This window comes from Homo sapiens, chromosome 19 (genome assembly GCF_000001405.40).
Source record: "Homo sapiens chromosome 19, GRCh38.p14 Primary Assembly".
In the NCBI taxonomy this organism is placed as follows: Eukaryota; Metazoa; Chordata; class Mammalia; order Primates; family Hominidae; genus Homo; species Homo sapiens.
In genome coordinates, this window is record NC_000019.10 from 58,418,357 (window position 1) to 58,440,340 (window position 21,984).

Sequence of the window (21,984 nt, forward strand, 5' to 3'; positions counted from 1 at the left end):
CTTATTCTGTTGCCCAGGCTGGAATGCAGTGGTGCCATCATAGCTCACCACAGCCTTGAACTGCTGGTCTCAAGGGATCTTCCTGCTTCAGCCTCCTGAGTAGCTGGCACTACAGGTGTGCGCCATCACACCTGGCTAATTTTTTTTTTTCATTTGTGGACAGGGTCTTGCTATATTGCCCAAGCTGGTCTCGAACTCTGAGCCTCAAGCTATCCTCCTGCCTTGGCCTCCCAAAGTGCTGGGAGCCACTGTGCCTGGCCTAGTTTTTTTAGAGACAGGGTCTCACAGTCTTGCCCAGGCTGGAGTGCAGTAGTGTGAAGCTAGCTCATTGCAGACTTGAACTACTGGACTCAAGTGATCCTCCTGCTTCAGCGTATTGAATAGCTAGGATTGTACTTGTGTGGCACCACATCTGACTAATTTTAAAAATTTGTATAGAGACAGGATCTTGCTACATTGCCCAGGCTGGTCATGAACTCTTTGCCTCAAGCAGTCCTCTTGCCTCAGCCTTCCAAAGTGCTGGTATTATAGTTGTGAGCCACTGTGCCCTGCCAAGTCTCTTTTAATATTGAGGTTCTGATCCCTGTGTGTGGAGAGATTGAGAATAGAATCCGGCACTATCACCGTAAGTTGAGGGAATGGCTTTTGTGGAGGTGGTCTCTTGAGTTTTTTCTGCCTCAGTGGGGATGGCAGGATGACAGAAAATACCTCTAGTCAAGGTTGGCCTAATTTGTATTGGCCCCTGAGTCCTCCAGGGAAAGACTTGTAGCCTGGATGTCAGGCTTTTTTGTGGGTCCAGAGCTCACCTTGCGGAAGGGAATAGTTGGTGAGAGATCTTCTATATGTTTATGGACATAAAAAGTTGGGTTCCTTGTTCCCAGGGAATGTTCCAGAACTTCCAGCATTGGTCAGAAGGAGCTGTTTCCAGATTCAGCTCAAAAGTCATATTCTCCAAAATCTGGAACATGGAGGTAAGTTATAGACTGACTCTAAGACCTATAGGGGCCTGTTGGGTAGAGTAATTTGAGTAGAGTAAGTGGGCATAGAAATATTGAGTGAAGTAGTATGGAGTGAAGTGTCTGATAAACAAGAGGATTTCAGCCAGTTCTAAAGAGGCATCCACAAATGTTCCAGCAACTGAGGTTTCCTGGGGTGAGGGCACCAGAACTTCTCAGCAATTGCAGACCTGTTATTTGTGTCAAGGTCACTGTCAGCAAATAATCTACAGACTTTCTGGATTCTCATATCCTCTCTGGGCTGTTCACCTCTCATGGCCATTATCCTGAGACTGAAAGATTCTATAGTCCTGGGATGTGCCTTTTGTGACCCAGCCAGTACTCCTGGTGTCTGGATGCTGTGGCCTTTGCAGTTGTCAAGTTTTTGCTGTCATGGTGTCAGGGCTTTCCCTCTGGGGCTCAAGAGAGACACGTAGGGTAACCAAAGTATGGATCCAGATCTTGCGGTTTATGGGACCTTTTCAGAGTCTTGCTGTGTCACGCAGCCTGGAGTGTAGTGGTATGATCACGGCTCACTGCACCCTTGACTCCAGGGATTCAAGTGATCCTTCTACCTCAGCCTCCTGAGTAGCAGCGACTACAGTTACACACCACCACACTCAGCTAATTAAAGAAAAAATCGTTTTAGGCTGGGCGTGGTGGTCGATGCATGTAATCCTAGCACTTTGGGAGGCCAAGGTGGGCAGATCACTTTAGGTCAGGAGTTTGAAACCAGCCTGGCCAACATGGTGAAACTCCACCTCTACTAAAAATACAAAAAAATTGGCTGGGTGCAGTGGCTCACGCCTGTAATCCCAGCACTTTGGGAGGCCGAGGCAGGTGGATCATGAGGTCAGGAGATCGAGACCATTCTGGCTAACATGGTGAAACCCCGTCTCTACTAAAAATACAAAAAAATTAGCCCGGCATGGTGACGGGCGCCTGTAGTCCCAGCTACTTGGGAGGCTGAGGCAGGAGAATTGCTTGAACTGGGGAGGCAGAGGTTGCAGTGAGCCAAGATCTCACCACTATTCTCCAGCCTGGGTGACAAAGCAAGACTCTGTCTCAAAAAAAAAAAAAAATTTGGGAGTAGGGGGTCAGGATTGGCGGCTCATGCCTGTAATGCCAGCACTCTGGGATACTGAGGTGGGAGGATCGCTTGAGCCGAGAAGTTCATAGACCAGCCTGGGCAACATGGCAAGACCCCATCTCTTTAAATTTTTTTTTTTTTTAAGAGACAAGGTTTTGCCATGTGCCCAGGCTGATCTTGAACTCTTGGGCTCAAGTGATCTTCCAGCCTCAGACTCCCAATGTGCTGGGGTTGGTGTGACACTGTTCCTGGCTTATACCCACTTTTATTTTATTTTATTTTTTTTGAGATGGAGTCACTCTGTTGTCCAGGCTGGAGTGCAGTGGTGTGATCTCAGCACACTGCAACCTCCGCCTCCCAGGGTCAAGTGATTCTCATACCTCAGTCTCCCGAGTAGCTGGGATTATAGGCATCGGCCAGCATGCCCGGCTAATTTGTATTTTTAGTAGAGACGGGGTTTCACCATGCTGGCCAGGCTGGTCTCGAACTCCTGACCTTGTGATCTGCCCACCTCAGCCTTTCAAAGTGCTGGGATTACCGGCGTGAGCCACCGCACCCAGCCTATATACCCACTTTTAAAGACATACGAGATGCTAAATGTTATTCAGAATGGGCTAGAAAATGGGTGGTAACTTCCAGCTGTTGCCATGCTAAGGGGCAGTAACTTCCGAGTGTTGCCAAGGCAGTGGCAAACTGCCATGGCAATGGCGGGCCTGTCTTACGGGGAAGTGCTTTCAGCGCCTTTTCCTGATTTCAGCGTCTTCAACCTGCTCTGGAGTAGAGTCCCATCTGCCTCCTACCTCAGCTTCACAAAAATCCCTTGAAGGAGGAATTATCTTCATTTTCCATTGCTCCCCCACTTCCCCAGACTGGCTGCTGGATAGGATATTGATCACCTTGCTGCCTATAGAAATCTCAGTGCTGCTTTTTTAGGGGGAACGGAAGCCAATCCACATTGTAATTTTTTTTTCTTTTGAGACGGAGTCTCCCCGTCACCCAGGCTGGAGTGCAGTGGTGCAGTCTTGGCTCCCAGGTTCAAGTGATTCTCCTGCCTCAGCCTCCTGAGTAGCTGGGATTAACAGGTTCGCCGCACCATGCCCGGCTAATTTTTGTATTTTTAGTAGAGACAGCGTTTCACCATGTTGGTCGGGCTGGTCTCGAACCCCTGACCTCGTGATCCGCCCACCTCGGCCTCCCAAAGTGCTGTGATTACAGGCGTGAGCCACCGTGCCCAGCCATGTAATTTTAAAAATGTAATTTATAAGAGCATAAAATTATGAAATACTTAGAAATAAATTTGACAAAATTATGCAAGACTTGTACACTGAAAACTACAAAATGTTGCTGAGAGACTGATTGAAGAATACCTAAGTAAATGAGGACATTTACCATGTTCATGAACTGGAAGTCTCAATATTAGTATGTTAATCCTCCCAAAGTTGATTTGCAGATTCAATGCAGTCCCAATAAAAATGTCACTAGGTTTTGTTGTTGTTGTTTTTGACTCGCTCTGTAACCCAGGCTGGAGTGCAGTGGTGCAATCTTTTCTCACTGCAACCTCCGCGTCCCGGGTTCAAGCGATTCGCCTGCCTCAGCCCCCCAAGTAGCTGGGACTACAGGTGTGTGCCACCACGCCTGGCTAATTTTTGTATTTTTAGTAGAGACAGGGTTTGCTATGTTGGCTAGGCTGGTCTCAAACTCCTAACCTCAAGTAATCTGCCCCTCTTACCCTCCTAACATGCTGGGATTACAGGCATGAGCAGTTGATCAAATTCAACATCCCGTCATGGCAGAAACTCTCAACTAGGCGTAGAAGGAACATACCTCAACATAATAATGGCCATATATGACAGACCCACAGCTAACATCTTACTGAATGGGGAAAGGCTGAAAGCTTTTTCTCTCAGAACTGGAACAAGACAAAGATGCCCACTTTCACCACTCCTATTCAACATAGTACTAGATGTCCTAGCCAGGCAAGAGAAAAGAAAAGGTATCCAAATTGGAGGAGACTAAGTAAGTTGTTCCTGTTTGCAGATGACATGATCTTATATTTAGAAAAACCTAGACCCCACCAAAAAAACTCTTAGGTCTGATAAAGAGATTCAGCAAGGTTTCAGGATACAATCAATGTACAAAAATCAGTAGTGTTTCTATACACCAGTAATGATCTAGCTGAAAAAGAAATCAAGAAGGCAATCCCATTTATGATAGTTACCAAAATATACCTGGGAATAAATTTAACCAAGGAGGTGAAACACCTCTACAAGGAAAATTACAGAACATTGATAATAGAATTGAAGAGACCTTTGGATTCATCCTCACATTCTTCCTCTTCTGCCCACAAATAACCCCCTTCCAAAAAAAAAATGATACAAACAAATGGAAAAACATATGCTCATGGATTAGGAGAATTAATATATTTTGTTTTGTTTTTGTTTGTTTTGAGACAGAGTCTCGCTCTGTTGCCCAGGCTGGAGTGCAATGGCACGATCTGGGCTCACTACAAGCTCCGCCTCCCGGGTTCACACCATTCTTCTGCCTCGGCCTTCCCAGCAGCTGGGACTACAGGTGCACGCCACTATGCTCAGCTAATTTTTTGTATTTTTAGTAGAGACAGGGTTTCACCGTGTTAGCCAGGATGGTCTCGATCTCCTGACCTTGTGATCTGCCTGCCTCGGCCTCCCAAAGTGCTGGGATTACAAGCGTGAACCACCACACCCGGCTGTTTTTTTTGAGACGGAGTCTTGCTCTGTCGCCCAGGCTGGAGTGCAGTGGCGCGATCTCGGCTCACTGCAAGCTCTGCCTCCCGGGGTTCTCGCCATTCTCCTGCCTCAGCCTCCAGAGTAGCTGGGACTGTTGGCATGTGCCACCACGCCTGGCTAATTTTTTGTATCTTTAGTAGAGACAGGTTTTCACCATGTTGGCCAGGCTGGTCTCAAACTCCTGACCTCGTGATCTGCCCAGCTTGGCCTCCCAAAGTGCTGGGATTGCAGGCATGAGCCACTGCGCCTGGCAGAAGAATTAATATTGTTAAAATGACCATACTGCCCAAAGCAAGCTACAGATTCAATGCAATCCCTATGAAGATATCAAATGCATTTTTTCCCCACAGAATTAGAAAAAGTTCTCAGAGCTTTGTAGAATCAAAAAAGAGCCCAAGTAGCCAAAGCAATCCTGAGCACAAAGAGCAAAGCTGGAAGCATCACACTACCTGACTTGAAAATATATTACAAGGCTATAGTGACCAAAAGAGTGTGGTATTGGTATAATAGTCACATAGACCACGGAAACATAATGGAGACCCAGAAATAAATCCAGATATTTACAGCCAACTGATTTTCAACAAAGATGCCAATAACATACATTGGGAAAGGATACCCTCTTCAATAAATCCAAAAACTAGATATCCATATGAATGAAACTAGACCCCCATCTCTCACCGTATACAAAAACAACTCTAAATAAAGACTTAAACATATGACTCAAAACTGTAAAACTACTAGAAAAACAAGGGGGTCGGGGCAGTGGCTCACACCTGTAATCCCAGCACTTTGGGAGGCCGAGGCGGACGGATCACCAGAGGTCAGGAGTTCGAGACCAGCTTGACTCACATGGTGAAACCCCATCTCTACTAAAAATACAAAAAAAAAAAAAATTAGCCAGGTGTGGTGGCGCATGGCTGTAATCTCAGCTACTTGGGAGGCTAAGGCAGGAGAATAGCTTGAACCCAGGAGGCGGAGGTTGCAGTGAGCTGAGATCGCACCATTGCACTCCAGCCTGGGCAACAAGAGTGAAACTCAGTCTCAAAAGAACAAAATAAAACAAACAACAACAACAACAACAAAGGAAAAGGAAAAGCACGTGTTGGGAGAAAATATTTGCTAAATATATTCGACATCTTTTATCTCAAATATATAAATAACACTTATAACTCGATTATAAGTTAATAATCATCCAAAGTTTAAAATGGGCAAAAGATCTGAACAAATATGCTTTGAAAGAAGATATATGGTTATCAAATACACACTTGAAAAGTTGTTCAACGTCACTAGTCATTCAGGAAATGCAAATTTAAACTATGATGAGATACAACTACTACACATTTATTAGAATCGTTAAAATGAAAAAGACAAACATACAAATATATGGCAAGAATGTGGAGCAACTAGAACTCTCAGTGAGTTCTAATATAAGTGTGATAAATTTTTTTGAAAACAGTTTGACAGTTCTTAAAATGTTAAACATAAAAGCCGGGTATGGTGGAGTGCACCTGTAGTCCCAGCTACATTGGGCAGGAGGATCTTTTGAGCCCAAGAGTCCAAGTCCAGCCTGGGCAACATAGCCAGACCCTGTCTCAAAATAAAAACAAAAACAAAACAAAACAATTAAACATACACCTACCATATACCCCCAAAATTCCACTTCTAAGTATCTACCCAAGAGAATTCAAAGGATATATTAACACAAGGACTTGTACACAAATGTTTATAGCAGCTTCATTTGAGATAGTCAAAAGTTAGAAACAATTTGGCCAGGCACTGTGGCTCATGGCTGTAATCCCACCACTTTGGGAGGCCGAGGCGGGTGGATCATGAGGTCAGGAGTTTGAAACCAGCATTGCCAACGTAATGAAACCTGTCTCTACTAAAAATACAAAAAAAATCAGCCAGGCGTGGCGGTGCACACCTGTAGTCCCAGCTACTCAGGAGGCTGAGGCAGGGGAATTGCTTGAACCCAGGAGGTGGAGCTTGCCGTGAGCCGAAATTGCGCCACTGCACTCCAGCCTGGGCGACAGAGCCAGACTCCATCTCAAAAAAAAAAAAAAGATGGGGTCTTGCTCTATTGCCCAGGCTGGTCTTAAACTCCCCGGCTCAAGTGATCCTCCTGCCTTGGCCTACCAAAGTGCTGGGATTACAGGCGTGAGCCATCACGCCCGACTGAACCTCTTTTCCTTATAAACTATCTAGACTTAGATTTTTCCTTCCTTCCTTCCTTCCTGTCTTCCTTCTTCCTTCCTTCCTTCTTTCCTTTTTTTTTTTTTTTTAGACAGAATTCTGCTCTTGTGGCCCAGGCTGGAGTGCAATGCCGTGATCTTGGCTCATTGCAACCTCTGCCTGCCGGGTTCAAGCAACTCTCCTACCTCAGCCTCCCGAGTAACTGGGATTACAGCCGCCACCACCACGCCTGGCTAATTTTTTGTATTTTTAATAGAAACGCCGTTTCACCATGTTGGCCAGGCTGGTCTCAAACTCCCAACCTCAGGTGATCTGCCTGCCTGGGCCTCCCAAAGTGCTGGGATTACAGGCATGAGCCACCATGCCCAGCCTGAGATATTTCTTTATAGTAACACAAAAACAGCCTAACAAAAAGGTCACATAGTAGGTAGGATTTAGTAAGAAAGAGAGCTGAGATTTCAAGGCAGGTGAACTGGGTCTAATGTTTCCACTGCTTTACTCACCTCTCCCTACCTCTAGATTTCCACCCTCCCATGTTGAAATCTCTTGGTTATAAATTTTCACTTGTGCTTCTTTCTTAGATCACCTTCTTGAATCACAGTGGTGTCTATTTTCATATCCATTGAGGGTATAGTGATTCCTTGAGGGTTACAAGGTCTGCAGATCGATGAGTTCTTGGCATTTTGGAGAGGCCAGAGACTGGTAGCTCTGAGTCATTAGTTGTCAGGCCATGCCTCCCCATCAAACAATCGAAGCTTGGCTGACTTCTCTGAGTGCCAGAAGAAGGCTGGGGCTGGGGGTAGAGGATCTGGGTTTCACAAGAGGCGAGTCTGGAAATGTCAAAATTGGGGTCCAAGGTGAGAGGATGGCGTGGTAGGACAACATTGTCTGCCATCCGTGTATAATGGCTGAAGCTCTGGTTAGTGGGTGTGGCCTAAGGAGAATGTAGTGATTCCCACTGTCGGTGTAAAGGGCTTCATATTGATGGAGAGTTTTCTGTGTTGTCAGAAGTTCTGGTGGACACTGTGAGACAGATTTCATGGATTTATAGATGAGACAGCTGAAGCTTGGGAGTCTGTGCCCCAGATCGCACAATTTATTAGCAGTAGGAGTCCAAGTTGAGCCAAGCCAGAGAAGGTTACTGAGTGTTTTGGCACCCTTGGCCTTAATCTGCTGCTCTTCAGATTTCACAGCCCCCATGTTCCAGATAGTTCACTCAAAGCTTGGGAGTTGGAGATGAGGGAATCAACAGATGCTGACACTAGCATGAAGGAGAGGTATAGCTGATCTGGAGGTATGATTGGGAGAGGTTGAGAAGCCTTTCAAGGGTGTCCCTGATGTGGGAGGGCACAAGCAAAGGCCCAGGGGCAAGGAACTGCCCAGTAGATTCCAGAAGAGAACTACCATTGCATACAGCAGAGTGTACAATAACAGGGTAGTCAGTACACTGCATCAAGGGGCTGAAGGCAACTGCCTTTTGGTTTGAGCATAGTCTGAAAGCAGTGGAGCCACTGAATCCCACAAAAGCTGGTAACCTGGACAGCTCAAAAGTCACAGCCATCAGGACTTTGCCTGGAATATTCTGGCATTATTGGCAAACATCTATCTTCCCCTAACAGGTTGGCTGCTGTATACTGAGACCCAGTCGGAGATCAGAAGGCAGGTTCAGTAGAAACACGTAGGACTCTACTCATGTATTAGGAATCTTTTTTTTTTCCTTTTTTATTTTTATTTTTTATTATTTTTTTGAGACGGAGTTTCACTCTTGTTGCCCAGGCTGGAGTGCAATGGCGTGATCTCAGCTCACTGCAACCTCTGCCTCCCAGGCTCAAGCAATTCTCCTGCCTCCTGAGTAGCTGGGATTACACGCATGCGCCACCATGCCTGGCTTTTTTCTTTCTTTCTTTCTTTCTTTCTTTCTTTCTTTCTTTCTTTCTTTCTTTCTCTTTCCTTTCTTTCTTTCTTTCTTTCTTTCTTTCTTTCTTTCTTTCTTTCTTTCTTTCTTTCCTTCCTTCCTTCCTTCCTTCCTTCCTTCCTTCCTTCCTTTCCTTTCCCTTCCTTCCTTCCTTCCTTCCTTCCTTCCTTCCTTCCTTCCTTTCTTTCTTTTTCTTTCTTTCTTTCTTTCTTTCTTTTCTTGTAGAGATGGGATTTCTCCATGTTGGTCAGGCTGGTCTCAAAGTCCCAACCTCAGGTGATCCGCCCGCATTGGCCTCCCAAAGTGCTGGGATTACATGCGTGAGCTACCGCGCCCAGCCTTTTTTTTTTCCTGTTTTAGAGACAAGGTCTCATTATGTTGCCCAGGCTGGAGTGCAGTGGTGCAAACATAGCTCACTGCAGTCTTGAACTCCTGGGATCCAGTGATCCTCCTGCCTCAAGTAGCTGGAAACAGGCATGCCACAATCATGCCCAGCACCATCTTATGAGATCTAATCTTGGCCACTCACACAGAGGATTGAGCTCTGATGACGTGTCTACCCTAACTTTATTTGCTTAGAAGGCTGAGCCCCATATGGCTCAGCTAACCTTTAATTCTGATCCCACATGTGTCTTACATATTGGAGACATTAGCATCTTCCATATTGGAGACATTACACTCAGGAAGGAAGGCCTGAGTAGGGTAGGTATCCCCCAGACACCTCACTGTGCTGGGGAGTATTTGAGAAGCCCTGCTGTAAACTTTGCTGACGGCAAAACTGTTGTGGCTTCTGCTCACAATGTGGTTATCATTGTCCATCCCCTCAGGGGCTTCCAGGAGACGTGGCAGCTGCAGTGGCCTCTGATCCATCATACAGTATGGATGGACACCACAGGCCAAAGATTCTCATGTCAGAGGATTTCCGGTCTTTTCTCCCCTAGGCCTCAGGAGGACCCAGGGAAATATCTAAAGCCAACCTATAGTTTTGGTGAACTGAGTTTGCATTGAAATGTTTTTGGAAATGATTTTCAACATTTATAAAATCACATGCCACATAGAAATCTGAATATTTGGCTCTTCTTGGAAAACCAGGAGATATGGGAAATCTGTACTGACTCCACCATATTGTCTCCCCACCCCTTAAGAGGGACAGACCTGCTTGGTGGCCACCAGAAGTGGAATTATGAAGGCCACGGCCATATGATTCTCAAGAAACCCTGGCTACTCACATAAGCCACTCCAGACCATGATTTCTGTCTTCTCTGTCTTGAGGTGCCTACCTGTGCAGTGATGGCCATGAGATGAACAGCCCAGGGAGTCCACAGGAAATCCACAAAATATTTATTTGAATTTCAGTTATGAGTGACACATAGGTCTGCATGTCCTGAGAAGTTCTGTACACCCTTATCTCACTTGGCCATAGTCATTGGAAGTTTCTGATGTGCGTTTAGAACAGACATGTCCCCTCTTGTCTACCACAGTCTTCTCCACACTTAGAGTTTTTGTACCAATGATAGTTCCCACATAGCCCTGGCAGGTCTGAACCAGTTATGCCTGCCTACTGAGTTTTATATTTCATGAGTCATGAGCCATGGGCAGGTACTGGGGGATGTAGCTGGTAAAGTGGGACATGCATTGGGAACAGAGGACCAAACTTTTGCTGTGGAGGTTCTCAAAGAAACTACCCCATTCTTCAGAGCTAGCTCTGGGCCCACAGGTGACCCTTGGTGTCCAGATCACAAGATTCAGTCCAAGCCTGTCAGTCTTTCATAGGAGGCCTTAGGGCAACAAGACAAATTCAACCAAAACTGGACTGAGCACTCTTCCTGCCCATGCGGCTGTTTGAGACACTCAGTGCCCCCTTACAAAAGCTGTTCTTTTTATATTAGGATGAATTGTTTCAAACCACCTCACCAACTCTGATGCAGGTGGCTAAACATTAAGGCCTTTGTTATCTCAGAGAGAGACAGGCAGATCCAGGAGTGAGTGATTGAGACTAAACAGATCATTCCTAAGTGTCACATGTAGATGCAAACAATGTCCATGAAGAGAAACCTTTTCTTCTATTTTAGATGGAGTCTCACACTGTCGCCCAGGCTGGAGTGCAGTGGCACGATCTCGGCTCACTGCACACCCTGCCTCCCAGGTTCACACCATTCTCCTGCCTCAGCCTCCTAAGTAGCTGGGACTACAGGCACCCGCCACCACACCTGGCTAATTTTTTGTATTTTTAGTAGAGGTGGGTTTTCACCATGTTAGCCAGGATGGTCTCGATCTCCTGACCTCATGATCTGCCTGCCTCAGCTTCCCAAAGTGCTGGGATTATAGGCATGAGCCACTGTGCCCGGCCAAGAAACCTTTTCTGGAAAGCTCCAGAAGACACCAGCTCAGATCTTAGCAAGAATTGTCATACCAAAATCTAAAGCCATCAGTGGGAAAGAAAATGAAGGTACTCAAAGCCTATGTAATTCTCTCTAGAGAATGGAAAAGGGAGTATAGTCTGCTTTCCCTTAGCACAGTGAGGGAGACTGATACATATCATGAGATCTTGCCAGGTGGCAGAGATGAGACAGTATGGCAGGCAGCTTTGGACATGGCTTCCAATGATCTCTGCCCTCTGGTATTCATGCTCTTGTGTAATGCTCTCCCCTTGACTGTGGGCTGGACCAAGTGACTTGCTTCTAACTAAATTTAGCAAAGATGATGGGATCTCACTTCTGTTATTAGGTTACAAATGACTGACTTGTTGGTATTCTCCACTGCATGATCAGCTTGCAAGCTTTGATTGACAAGCTGCCATTTTGGAGAGGCCCATGTGGCAGAGAACTGGAGGAGGTCTCAGACCAACAGACGGGTCCTCAGTCCAGCAGCCCACAAAAAACTGAATGCTGCCAATTACATGAGTTTGCTTGGAAGCAGAGCCTTCCCTAGTCAAGCCTTCAGATGATACACCCCCAGCTGACATCTTGATGTTAGCCTTGTGAGAAACCCTAAAGAGGAGTCAGCTAGCTGCACCAAAGTTCCTGACCTATAGAGACTGTGAAATAGTGACTATTGTTTTAAGCCACTAGGTTTTGAGTAATTTGTTACACAGCAATAGGTAACTAATACAGATGGCTTCTGCAATAGCAGTAATACAGTGCCGCCTAAGATTCTGGGAGCTGTGGCTTTCCCACATTTGTTGCCCATAACTCTCTTGTGAATTCTCTGGTGATTTTTCTTAAAAGGGGGTGTCTATAGCTGAAGGCTTTCCCATTTTCACTGCATTTGTAATGCCTTTTTCCCATAGGTACTTTATATAGCTTTCTCACATAGGAGAGGTGACTGAAGACCATCCCACATTCCTTAGATGCAGGGGTTTTCTCTACTGTGAATTTTTTGGTTATAGATAAGAATCGATTTCTTCTTGAGGGTCTTTCTTCATACCAAGTATTTAAAGATCTCTCTTCAGTGTGGGTTCTTAGGTGGTTGAAGAGGGCAAAAGTCTTCATGTCTTCCCATAGCCACTGCTCTTGAAGGGCTTCTCCCTATCATGGCCTGCCCGGTGTTATCTGATGTTAGAGCTGTGTGGCAGCATCTTCTCACTCAGCTCTTCTTCATGGCTTCCCTGTGCCATGAGTACTCTGGTGATGGAGAAAGGAAGGCCTTTCCACATTCTCTTTTGAGCTTCTCATTATTCTGGTACTCCAGTGCTGGAAGGGGGTAGTTACCCTGGAAAGCCTTCACAAATGCCTGGCCCTTGAGTCCTCTCACTTATGAATTTTGCTGTGCATGAACTGAAAAGTGCTCTTACTGTGAGCCATGTCACATCTGAAAAGGTGGTCTTCACCATAAATGGTCTACTGTTGGTGAAGGTTTGATCCACTCCCTTGTGTGGGGTTTCTACCTGGAGTACACTGCCTAACGTTCAGCCAGGAGTACAATCTTTGGCAGGGCAAGGGTGCCATGGTCAGGGTGAGGAACGACCAGTCATGGAGTACTGGTCCTGTCACATATCCCACTACTGAGCCTGTTAGGTGACATTCACATAGGCAGGGAGAACAGAGAGGGATCTAGGACAGATGTGGAAGCAGCAGTGGCTACTGAAACTGCTGTTCAGTGATGTGAGCCCAGGCCACCCTTCTTTTCTAGAGATGGGGCCTTGCTATGTTGCCCTGGATGGACTCAACCTCCTGGGCTCAAGAGATCCTCCTGCCTCAGCCTCTCAAGCAGCTAGGACTATAGGTGTGCACCACTGCACCTGGCCAGGCCTCTCCTTTATGGGGACTCCTGTTCACATCCCAGCCAATGCTCTCATGAGTACTTCCTTGTATGGGGGAGGTCAAAGAAACAGCAGCAGCTCACATGTGATGATGCTGAAATTACATGGTAAATAAGCTTTTTAAAATAGGTGCCGGCCAGGTGCGGTGGCTCATGCATGTAATCCCAGCACTTTGGGAGTCCAAGGCAGGCAGATCAGGAGGTCAGGAGATCGAGACCATCCTGGCTAACATGGTGAAAACCCGTCTCTACTAAAAATACAAAAAAATTAGCTGGGTGTGGTGGCGGGCAACTGTAGTTCCAGCTACTCGGGAGGCTGAGGCAGGAGAATGGCGTGAGCCATTTAGGAGGTGGAGCTTGCCGTGAGCCAAAATCGCGCCACTGCACTCCAGCTTGGGCGACAGAGCAAGACTCCATATCAAAAAAAAAAGGTGCCAAACACCATATTCTACAAGGTTCTGGATCTCTAGCTCCTTCTAAAATACCAGCTCTGTCAACTGTGTTAAATGCCCCCATCTGCCTGTGCCCACTCTGTTGGCCAGCAAGACTGTGAAGGCATGAAGTGTGTGTTAGTGACCAGAAACCCTGGCCAGACTGCAAAAACCACTTTCCTGGACGTCAGGCTATCACTTCTCTCAGCTCCCAGTTCCTACCTGGGGAGTGATGGGTGCCAAGATACAGTTTGAGAGAGGTGAAGTGAATGTACATGACATTGCATTTATCTGCTTTAACTGTGGCAAAAACTTTAACATGGCAAATACAAAGGTCTGTAGCTCTGGAGTTGTTCTGCACACCCTCACCCTGCACAGTCCCAGTTGATGGGGAACTATGGCTATTCCTTTGTCCATGATGGCATGTGCCCTAGTTCACCAGTCTACCCAAATCCCTGGTTATTACCTCACATCCAGTGTTTCTCTATGCACATAGAGTCCTCCATGGACCCCTCTAGGTCTTTGCCTTGGTGACCCTGTGACTATTTTAGTGTTGTAGATGAGTTTATTTTTCCTCTGGGTAAGCTCTGGGCCCTACGGTAACTGAAACAGGCCACTATGTTCAATCCAGAGCCTTTCAGTCTTTCCCAGTCTTTCACACAGCAATGCAAAGTAGGCTACAACAGGACAGAGCAACTACCCGCTCTTCTACTGTGCCCTTAGGCAGATTTTGTGCCCCCAAAAGGCACTCCCCAATCTATCCATTCATTTTCTCAACCTACCCCAACAGAACCCCTAAGATTAAAGGTGACCTGATCAATAAGGTCTTTATTATCACCAGTTAGTGCAGGCAAGGTAGGTGATTCCAGTGGAGGGTGATTTGTGGCCTCAATGGACACATCTTAGGGGTTAAACACAGACTTGACCACATCCACAAGGAATGTGCATCTTCCTGAGCTCAAATTAGATTTCCCTCAAGGCCCCTCAACCAGCATCGGTTCAGCTGAGCACAGTCCTGAATCCCTAGAGAACACAGGAAGGAAGGCTCAGGGTACTGTTTTCCCCATGCATGAGGACAGGACTGCTGCAAATTTTTGGATCCAGGCAAGATGGAAAGTGACTATGGCTTCTGCCTTATGCTGCATGGGTGAGATGGCCCTGCAAAGGTTCCTGGGCTGGTCAGAAACAGAGTAGCTTCTGAAGGCTTTTCCACATTAGCAGTACATGTAGGTAATTTTTCTGGTATGGGGATTCTGCTGCATGAAGTTTGACTTGGCTGAAGATTTTCTCACAAAGACCACTTCCATAAGGCTCCACTCAGGTATGAATCTTTTTATGCTGTGCAAGGTTACAAAGATGGCTGAAGAGTTTCCCACACTGGCTACACTCATAAGTCCTTTCTCTGGTGTGAACTTTCTGGTGCCGAACAAGTGTAGATCTTTCACTAAAGGCTTTTCCACACTGGATGCACTCATAGGGCCTTTCTTGTGTGTGAACTCTCTGATGACGAACCAGGTGGGAGTTACTGCTAAAGGCTCTCCCACATTCACTGCATTCGTAAGGCCTTTCTCCAGTGTGAACTCTCCAGTGACAAATAAGGCTGGATTTTCGGCTAAAGAATTTCCCACATTCACTGCATTTATAAGGCTTTTCTCCAGTATGAACTTTCTGATGCTTAATGAGAATGGAGTTTTGGCTAAAGAATTTCCCACATTCATTGCACTCATAAGGCCTTTCTTTTGTGTGAACTCTCCAGTGTTCAATGAGAGTGGAGCTGTGAGCAAAGGCTTTCCCACACTCACTACACTCGTAAGGCTTTTCTCCAGTGTGAATTCTCCAGTGCTGAATCAGGCTGGAGCTGCGGCTGAAGGATTTCCTACATTCGCTGCACTCATAAGGCCTTTGCCCAGTATGTACTTTCTGGTGCTGGATGAGGGTGGAGCTATTACTGAAGGCTTTACCACAATCACAGCATTCAAAAGGCCGTTCTCCAGTGTGAACTTTCTGATGTCGAAGGAGATGGGAGCTTTGGCTGAAGTCTCTTCCACATTCACTGCACTCAAAAGGCCGTTCTCCGGTGTGAACTTTCTGGTGCTGAGCAAGGTTGGAGTTATTGTTAAAAGCTCTTCCACATTCACTGCATTCATACGGTCTTTCTCCAGTGTGAACTCTCCAGTGCTGAATGAGAGCAGAGCTTCGGCTGAAGGATTTACCACATTGACTGCACTCATAAGGTCTTACCTGTGTGTGAACTTTCTGATGCCGAAGGAAATTGGAGCTTTGGCTGAAGGCTCTTCCACATTTCAGGCACTCAAAAGGCCTTTCTCCAGTGTGAACTTTCTCATGCCGAATGAGGTGTGATCTGTTACTGAAGGCTTTCCCACATTCATCACACTCATAAGGTCTTTCTCCTGAGTGAATTCTCTGATGATGAACAAATGTGAGTTTGTGGTTGAAGGTTTTCCCACATGCAATGCACTCATAATATTTTACTTCAGTGTGAAATTTCTGGTGCTTCCTCAGCTTAGATGAGTGACTAAAGGCCTTCCCACACTCCTTACACACATGGGGTATTTCCCCAGTGTGAAACTTTTTATTACCAAGGATTGATTTCTCCTCTAAGAAATTTCCACCTGTTGGGCATGTAAATGGTATCTCTTCAGAGTGAGTTCTCAGATGGTTGGGGAGAGTGGAGCTCTTCAGGAAGGCTTTTCCACAGTTGCTGCACTCGAAGAGTTTCTGTGTGGTACAGACTTCTGGAAGCTGCCCAAGATTGGAATATGGCTTCTGCCCACTGTCAACAGCTTGAAGCTGGAGGAGGTCACAGCTGCCCAGGATGACCTTCCCACCTTCCCTGCAAGTGAAGGGGTTCTCTGACAGGTGGACTTTAGAGCTCTTCATAAGTGCGTCCCTGTCCTTGTACCATCTAAAGGGCTTCCCTCCACTGTGCTCCTTCTGGTGCTGGTGAAGGTTTGCATTCAACCAAAAGTCTCTCCCACATGCTCCACATGTGTAGGGTTTCTCCTCAGACTGTGTTCCCTGATGCTCAGCCAGGTGCAAAATGTCTTTCAAGAATGGCCCACACATGTCACAGGAGTTAGCTTTCTTGGTGGAAGGATCTGCATTAGGGATCCTGACCTGTAACACTTCTACAGAAACATTCTGCTTGGGATGGGCCCCCTCACCCTCTACTCCATGCCAAGAACCTGAAAGTAGAGAAATGCCAGTTAACTAAGAATTCCACTTGGTGGGAATGGTTGACTTCATTAGAAATGTTACCCAGGAATTCACACCCAAGAAGAGGTCCCAGGGATTGCTGACAGGCCAACAGGGCCATCATCAGGGTGAAGAAGGGCCCATTACTATTGGCAGGATAGGGACCAGCCAAGCAACAGAATAAGGGAGACCTCACCAGGGGTAAGGACACAGAAATGGGTCAAAGGACTTAAATAGACATTTCTCTAAAAGAAGATATATACACAAATGGCCAATAAGCATATGAAAAGAAGTTCAGCATCCTTAAACATGAGGAGTATGAAAACCAAAACCATAATGAGATACCACTTCACATCCACTAGCATAGCTATAATAAAAAAAAATAAATGACAACAAATGAAGTAGAAAAACTGGAGCACTTATACACTGCAGACAGGGATGTAAAATGGTGCAGCCAATTTGGAAAACAGTTTGGCAAGTCTGCTTCTACAGAGCTACACAAGAGAACTAAAAACATCCACACAAAAATGTGTACAGGACTGTTCATAGCAGAATTTTTTTAAAATTTGAGATGGGGTCTTGCTATGTTGCCCAGGTTGGTCTCAAACTCCTGGGCTCAAGTGATCCTCCTGCCTCAGCCTCCTGAGTAGACGGATTATAGGCACCTTGCCCAGCTTCTATAGCAGCATTTTTTTCTAACACCTAAAAAATGGAAACAAGCCAAATGCTCATCCACTGGTAAATGGATAAACAAACTGTAGTCTTTCTATACACTGGAATATTTGGCTATAAAAAAGAATGAAATATTGATACATGCTACAACATTGATGAACTTCAAAAACATGCTAAGAGAAAGCCAGTCACAGAAAAATACATAGTATTCTATAAAATGTCTAGGAAACGTAAATCTATATAGTCAGAAAGTAGATTAGTGGTTGCCTAGGACCGGGGGGAAAGGGATAAGGGAACATGGGGAGTGACAGCTAATGGGACTGCTAATAGGACCTACAGTTTCTCTTTAGGTGATGAAAACATGCTAAAATTACATTATAGCAATGATTATACCATGTGAAAACATATAGAAATCACTAGACTGTGTACTTTAAAAGGTGAATTGTATGGTTTATCTTAATAAAGCTGTTTTTAAAAAATATCTCACTGGGGGCTGGGCGTGGTGGCTCACGCCTGTAATCCCAGCACTTTGGGAGGCTGAGGTGGGTGGATCACGAGGTCAGGAGATTGAGACCATCCTGGCTAACATGGTGAAACCCCCTCTCTACTGAAAATACAAAAAAAATTAGCTGGGTGTGGTGGCAGGCACCTGTAGTCCCAGCTACTTGGGAGGCTGAGGCAGGAGAATGGCGTGAACCTGGGAGGCAGAGCTTGCAGTAAGCTGAGATCACGCCACTGCACTCCAGCCTGGGGGACAGAGCAAGACTCCATCTCAAAAAAAAAAAAAAAAAAAAAAAAAGGAAAAAAAAATCTCATTGGGAAAGAGACAGAATCTGGGCATGACCTCATACTGGGTAACCCGACCAGGGATTGGTGAATCTCAGTGGGATCTGTTAGGCAGACTGGAGGTGTCTGATCCCCAACCTTTGCCTCCACAAGGCTCCTGGGCAACAGCTATTAGGAAAGCTCATGAGGCTGCTCAGAGAGAGACAGGGGAAGTACACACAGCAGAACCTCAGCACCCCAGCACCTACAACAGGAAACCCGAGAAGGAAGCAGTACCCATGATCTGGCTTTGGGATGAACAGAGCTTTCTATGGGGAAAAGACACAAGGCATAAGGTAGTCATCACCATGCTGAGACAGGGCATTACCAAGTGAGGTCACAAGCTCAAGGTTTTCCAGCATCACACTGTGGTACAGGTGCCTCTGGGCTGCATCAAGGAGCTCCCACTCCTCTTGGGAGAAGTATACAGCCACATCTTCAAAGGTTACCATGCTCTTCAATGTGGGGACAGCTGAGCCACAGGGCCAAGAAGTATGCTGACAAAGAAACAAACAATTGGTCAAATGGAAATATGCAGGACCTTGCTGTGTGACTCAGAATCCTGATACATCTACCACTAATATCTCTTTTTCTTATGATCCTCTCAGTCCACCCACTACTCACCCATCCACAGCTTATCTTCTTCCTCAGGGCCCCCACCTAACATGCCCTGGAATTAATGGTGCCCCTCTCTCCTAGTAGTCCCACTGGTCACTGTATCCAGGCCAACCCAACCTAGAGGAACAATAGGCAGGTGGGCAGATGGATGCTTCCTCCTCCCTCCTGCTGGCCAATTTTCCTTGTGTCTTCTGGCTCATACCTCCCAAACATAAGAAAATTTGGGCTTCCCTTTCTTAAGCCTCTTGTACCAGGGCCATGGGCCCAATGGTTCACATTCTCTCACCTTTACATGTCACTCCTCAGACCATACAGTTCTTATATTTCCAACCCCTCCCTGTTCACACTGTAGGCATTCTCCCTAGCATCTCACCATGCACATGGCATACCTGACAGATGCAACCGGGATCCATTCCTGGTCCAAGCCAGCTACAGAGCTCCAAAAACCCCACTGCAAGAGGCAGTCATAGCCCCTCAAGTCAATGCCTCCCCTGCCAGCCCTGTTCCTTCAACCATCAGCTGCCCAGAACCATAAGCAGATCTCAAATATCTCTTCCCTCTGATATCTTTGCCTTTGTATGTGTTGTCTCCTCCCCAGTCATAGCTGTCCTTGCTCTTCCTAACACTCAAATCCAAGATCCACTGGCCCCCACCTTGGCTTGGGGACTCAGCTTAGGCTGACCCTTTCTGATCTTGCCACTCCACCAGCCTGACAAAAACCCCAGGACCCTATTTAAGAAGAGATAACATGCCCTGACCACAAGAAGGATGGCCGCAACAATGTAGTGAGCTGTAGAGAAGCAAATCAACCTAAACCAAAGCCCAACTCTCATCCTACTTTTGCCGCTATGCTTCACTGTTGTCCTAGACCTACTCTCTGCTCAGGAGGCTCAGCCACTATCTTGAACCCAACCCACAACTGCATGCAGTGTCCACACACAAGCATCCATCCCTTGGATGTTTCCAGCCTAAACCCGACATAATTTCATAATCACATGTTTAGTGGTCTACTTGGCACCTCAATTTGGTAGTGTCTGGGACATCTCAAATACAACATGGCCAAAATCCAACTCTTTATCTTCCCCCTGAAATCTACTCCTCACACCAACTTCCACATCTGAAAGATCTAAGGTCAATTTTTTTTTTTTTTTTTTTGAGACAGAGTCTCGCTCTGTCACCCAGGTTGGAGTGCAGTGGCGCGATCTTGGCTCACTGCAAGCTCCGCCTCCCGGGTTCAAGCCATTCTCCTGCCTCAGCCTCCCGAGTAGCTGGGACTACAGGCACCCACCACCACGCCTGACTAATTTTTTGTATTTTTAGTAGAGATGGGGTTTCACCGTGTTAGCCAGGATGGTCTCAATCTCCTGACCTAGTGATCCACCTGCCTCGGCCTCCCAAAGTGCTGGGATTACAGGCGTGAGCCACCACGCCCGGCAATTTTTTTTTTTTTTTAAGACAGAGTCTCGCTCTGTCACTCAGGCTGGAGCGCAGTGGCACGATCTCAGCTCAATGCAACCTCCATCTCCCAGATTCAAACAGTTCTTCTGCCTCAGTTTCCCAAGTTGCTGGGATTACAGGTGCACACTACCATGTCCTGGCTAATTTTTCTGTATTTTTAGTAGAGGTGGGGTTTCGCCACGTTGGCCAGGCTGGTCTTGAACTCCTGACCTCAAGTGATCTGGCCGCCTTGGCCTCCCAAAGTGCTGGGATTACAAGTGTGAGCCACTGCACTCAGCCTTAGGTCAATCTTAACATTTCACTTTCTTTCACTGTCCCACATCAGGTAATCCATGGCCCAGTTTGGGCAGATTCAGAAGCCAACCATCTGTCCTACCTCCACGGGCACCCCTCTGTCCAGCTACCCAAAGCACACATCTGGACCACATCTGTCAGCTCCTCACTGGCCTTCCTGCTCCACCATCACCATCCCTCCAGTCTGCTGCCCACTAGGCATCCATAGGGCGTCTGTTAAGACTGGAGTCAGAGCACCTACTTCCTCTACTCCAAACCTTCCATGGCTCCCACCACCATCAGAATAGAGGTCCAGCTCCTCAGGCTGCCATTCCAGGCCTAACTATTGGTTTCCCTTCCCTGTTTCCACCAGACTAAATGGAGACCGGCAGTCCCCAGAATGCTTCCATTTCATCACCACTAAACAAGGTACACATGCTGGTCACTGTCCCTGGGACAGCCTTCCAGATCTCATTCCACAGGATTCCAGAAATGGGAATCCCTCGATATAACCCCTTGCCTGGATTCAGGATGGTAAGGGTAAGTGACTCCCAGGGCAGGGCCCAGGACCCACGTGTGAGGACAGGACACGATCAAGAGTCCCAGGACACCAACATCCCCTCTATCTGGGCTTCAGGATCCTGAGGGCCGGAATCCCAGCGGGTGAGGGCCTGGGGCACACTCCACTTACCTGCGCCGGGCCCATCAGCAACGCTGGCAACCCCATTAGAACCTGTGGGCTGGGCAGGGCCATAACAGGAGGCCCAGGGCTAGCCCTGCCGCTGGGCCGAACCCTCACACTTCCGCTGGGTGACGGTCGCACTCAGGACCTGTCTTCCCAAATGCAAAATGCGCGCAAGGCCTCTGGGCACCGCAGGGACGAAGGCTGGGTATGGAGACCCTGGAGACGCGTGGCGCTGGCTCCACTTTCGGGAACACCTTGGCTCATAAAAGCAGAGTAATTAGCCGGGCACTATGGTGCGTGTGAAGGCGCGGTGACGGTCCCTGCACCCACTCCCGTGCCCTGGTGTGGCTCCAGAGGCCTGCTGTAGCCCAACCCACCAGCAGCAAAATGAGGACCGCAATGGCGGCGCCGGAAGTCCCGCCTCTCAATGACAGCTCGGACTTGCCACTGGTCCGAGCTTTCATTGGCTCAAGGATCCCCGCCGTCTATGACGCTATTTCCCTATGCCCGTCACGCTACTGCTAGGTCGTTGCCAAGGTGATTGAGGAATGGCGTTTATTGCGTCGCTGCTCAGGCAACGCAAACTAC

The 21,984-nt window shown here is 47.0% G+C and overlaps 2 protein-coding genes across 3 annotated transcripts in view, besides 1 other annotated feature; one reads left to right on the forward strand and one right to left on the reverse strand.

The window, feature by feature from the left end:
• The first annotated feature begins 39 nt into the window (after window positions 1-39).
• The window catches only part of ZNF324B (zinc finger protein 324B), a 39,438-nt gene continuing 17,493 nt past the window's right edge, over window positions 40-21,984 (forward strand). Inside the window, exons 1-2 of the mRNA XM_047438807.1 lie at window positions 40-971; window positions 21,085-21,140. Of these exons, the coding sequence (XP_047294763.1) occupies window positions 21,090-21,140 (51 nt within the window). The 5' untranslated portion in view covers window positions 40-971; window positions 21,085-21,089. The remainder of the gene's footprint in view (window positions 972-21,084; window positions 21,141-21,984) is intronic.
• Window positions 14,458-21,797, reverse strand: ZNF132 (zinc finger protein 132). 2 transcript variants are annotated; one of them, NM_003433.4, is made up of 3 exons: window positions 21,403-21,797; window positions 18,691-18,859; window positions 14,458-16,855 (listed from the first exon to the last, which is right to left on the reverse strand). In NM_003433.4, the coding sequence occupies exons 1-3, from the start codon at window positions 21,463-21,465 to the stop codon at window positions 14,967-14,969; spliced, it is 2,121 nt and encodes a 706-aa protein (NP_003424.3). In that variant the 5' UTR covers window positions 21,466-21,797; the 3' UTR covers window positions 14,458-14,966. The 2 variants fall into 2 exon arrangements, with proteins under 2 accessions (NP_003424.3, XP_047295317.1); XM_047439361.1 differs by having other exon boundaries at window positions 19,370-21,651.
• Window positions 21,463-21,973: an enhancer, noted in NCBI's record as "H3K27ac-H3K4me1 hESC enhancer chr19:58951186-58951696 (GRCh37/hg19 assembly coordinates)". NCBI's record gives its function as "activates a minimal SCP1, AML or CMV promoter by ChIP-STARR-seq in naive H9 embryonic stem cells {active_cell/tissue: H9 hESC(naive)}" and the evidence as "EXISTENCE:reporter gene assay evidence [ECO:0000049][PMID:30033119]".

Coding starts and splice junctions, on each gene's coding strand:
- ZNF132 (NM_003433.4), bottom strand. CDS start 21,465: ATGGCCCTGCCCAGCCCACAGGTTCTAATGGGGTTGCCAGCGTTGCTG. Junction 18,860..21,402: donor TGCTGATGGGCCCGGCGCAG/GTAAGTGGAGTG, acceptor TTTCTTTGTCAG/CATACTTCTTGGCCCTGTGG. Junction 16,856..18,690: donor TGAGCTTGTGACCTCACTTG/GTAATGCCCTGT, acceptor CTCTACTTTCAG/GTTCTTGGCATGGAGTAGAG.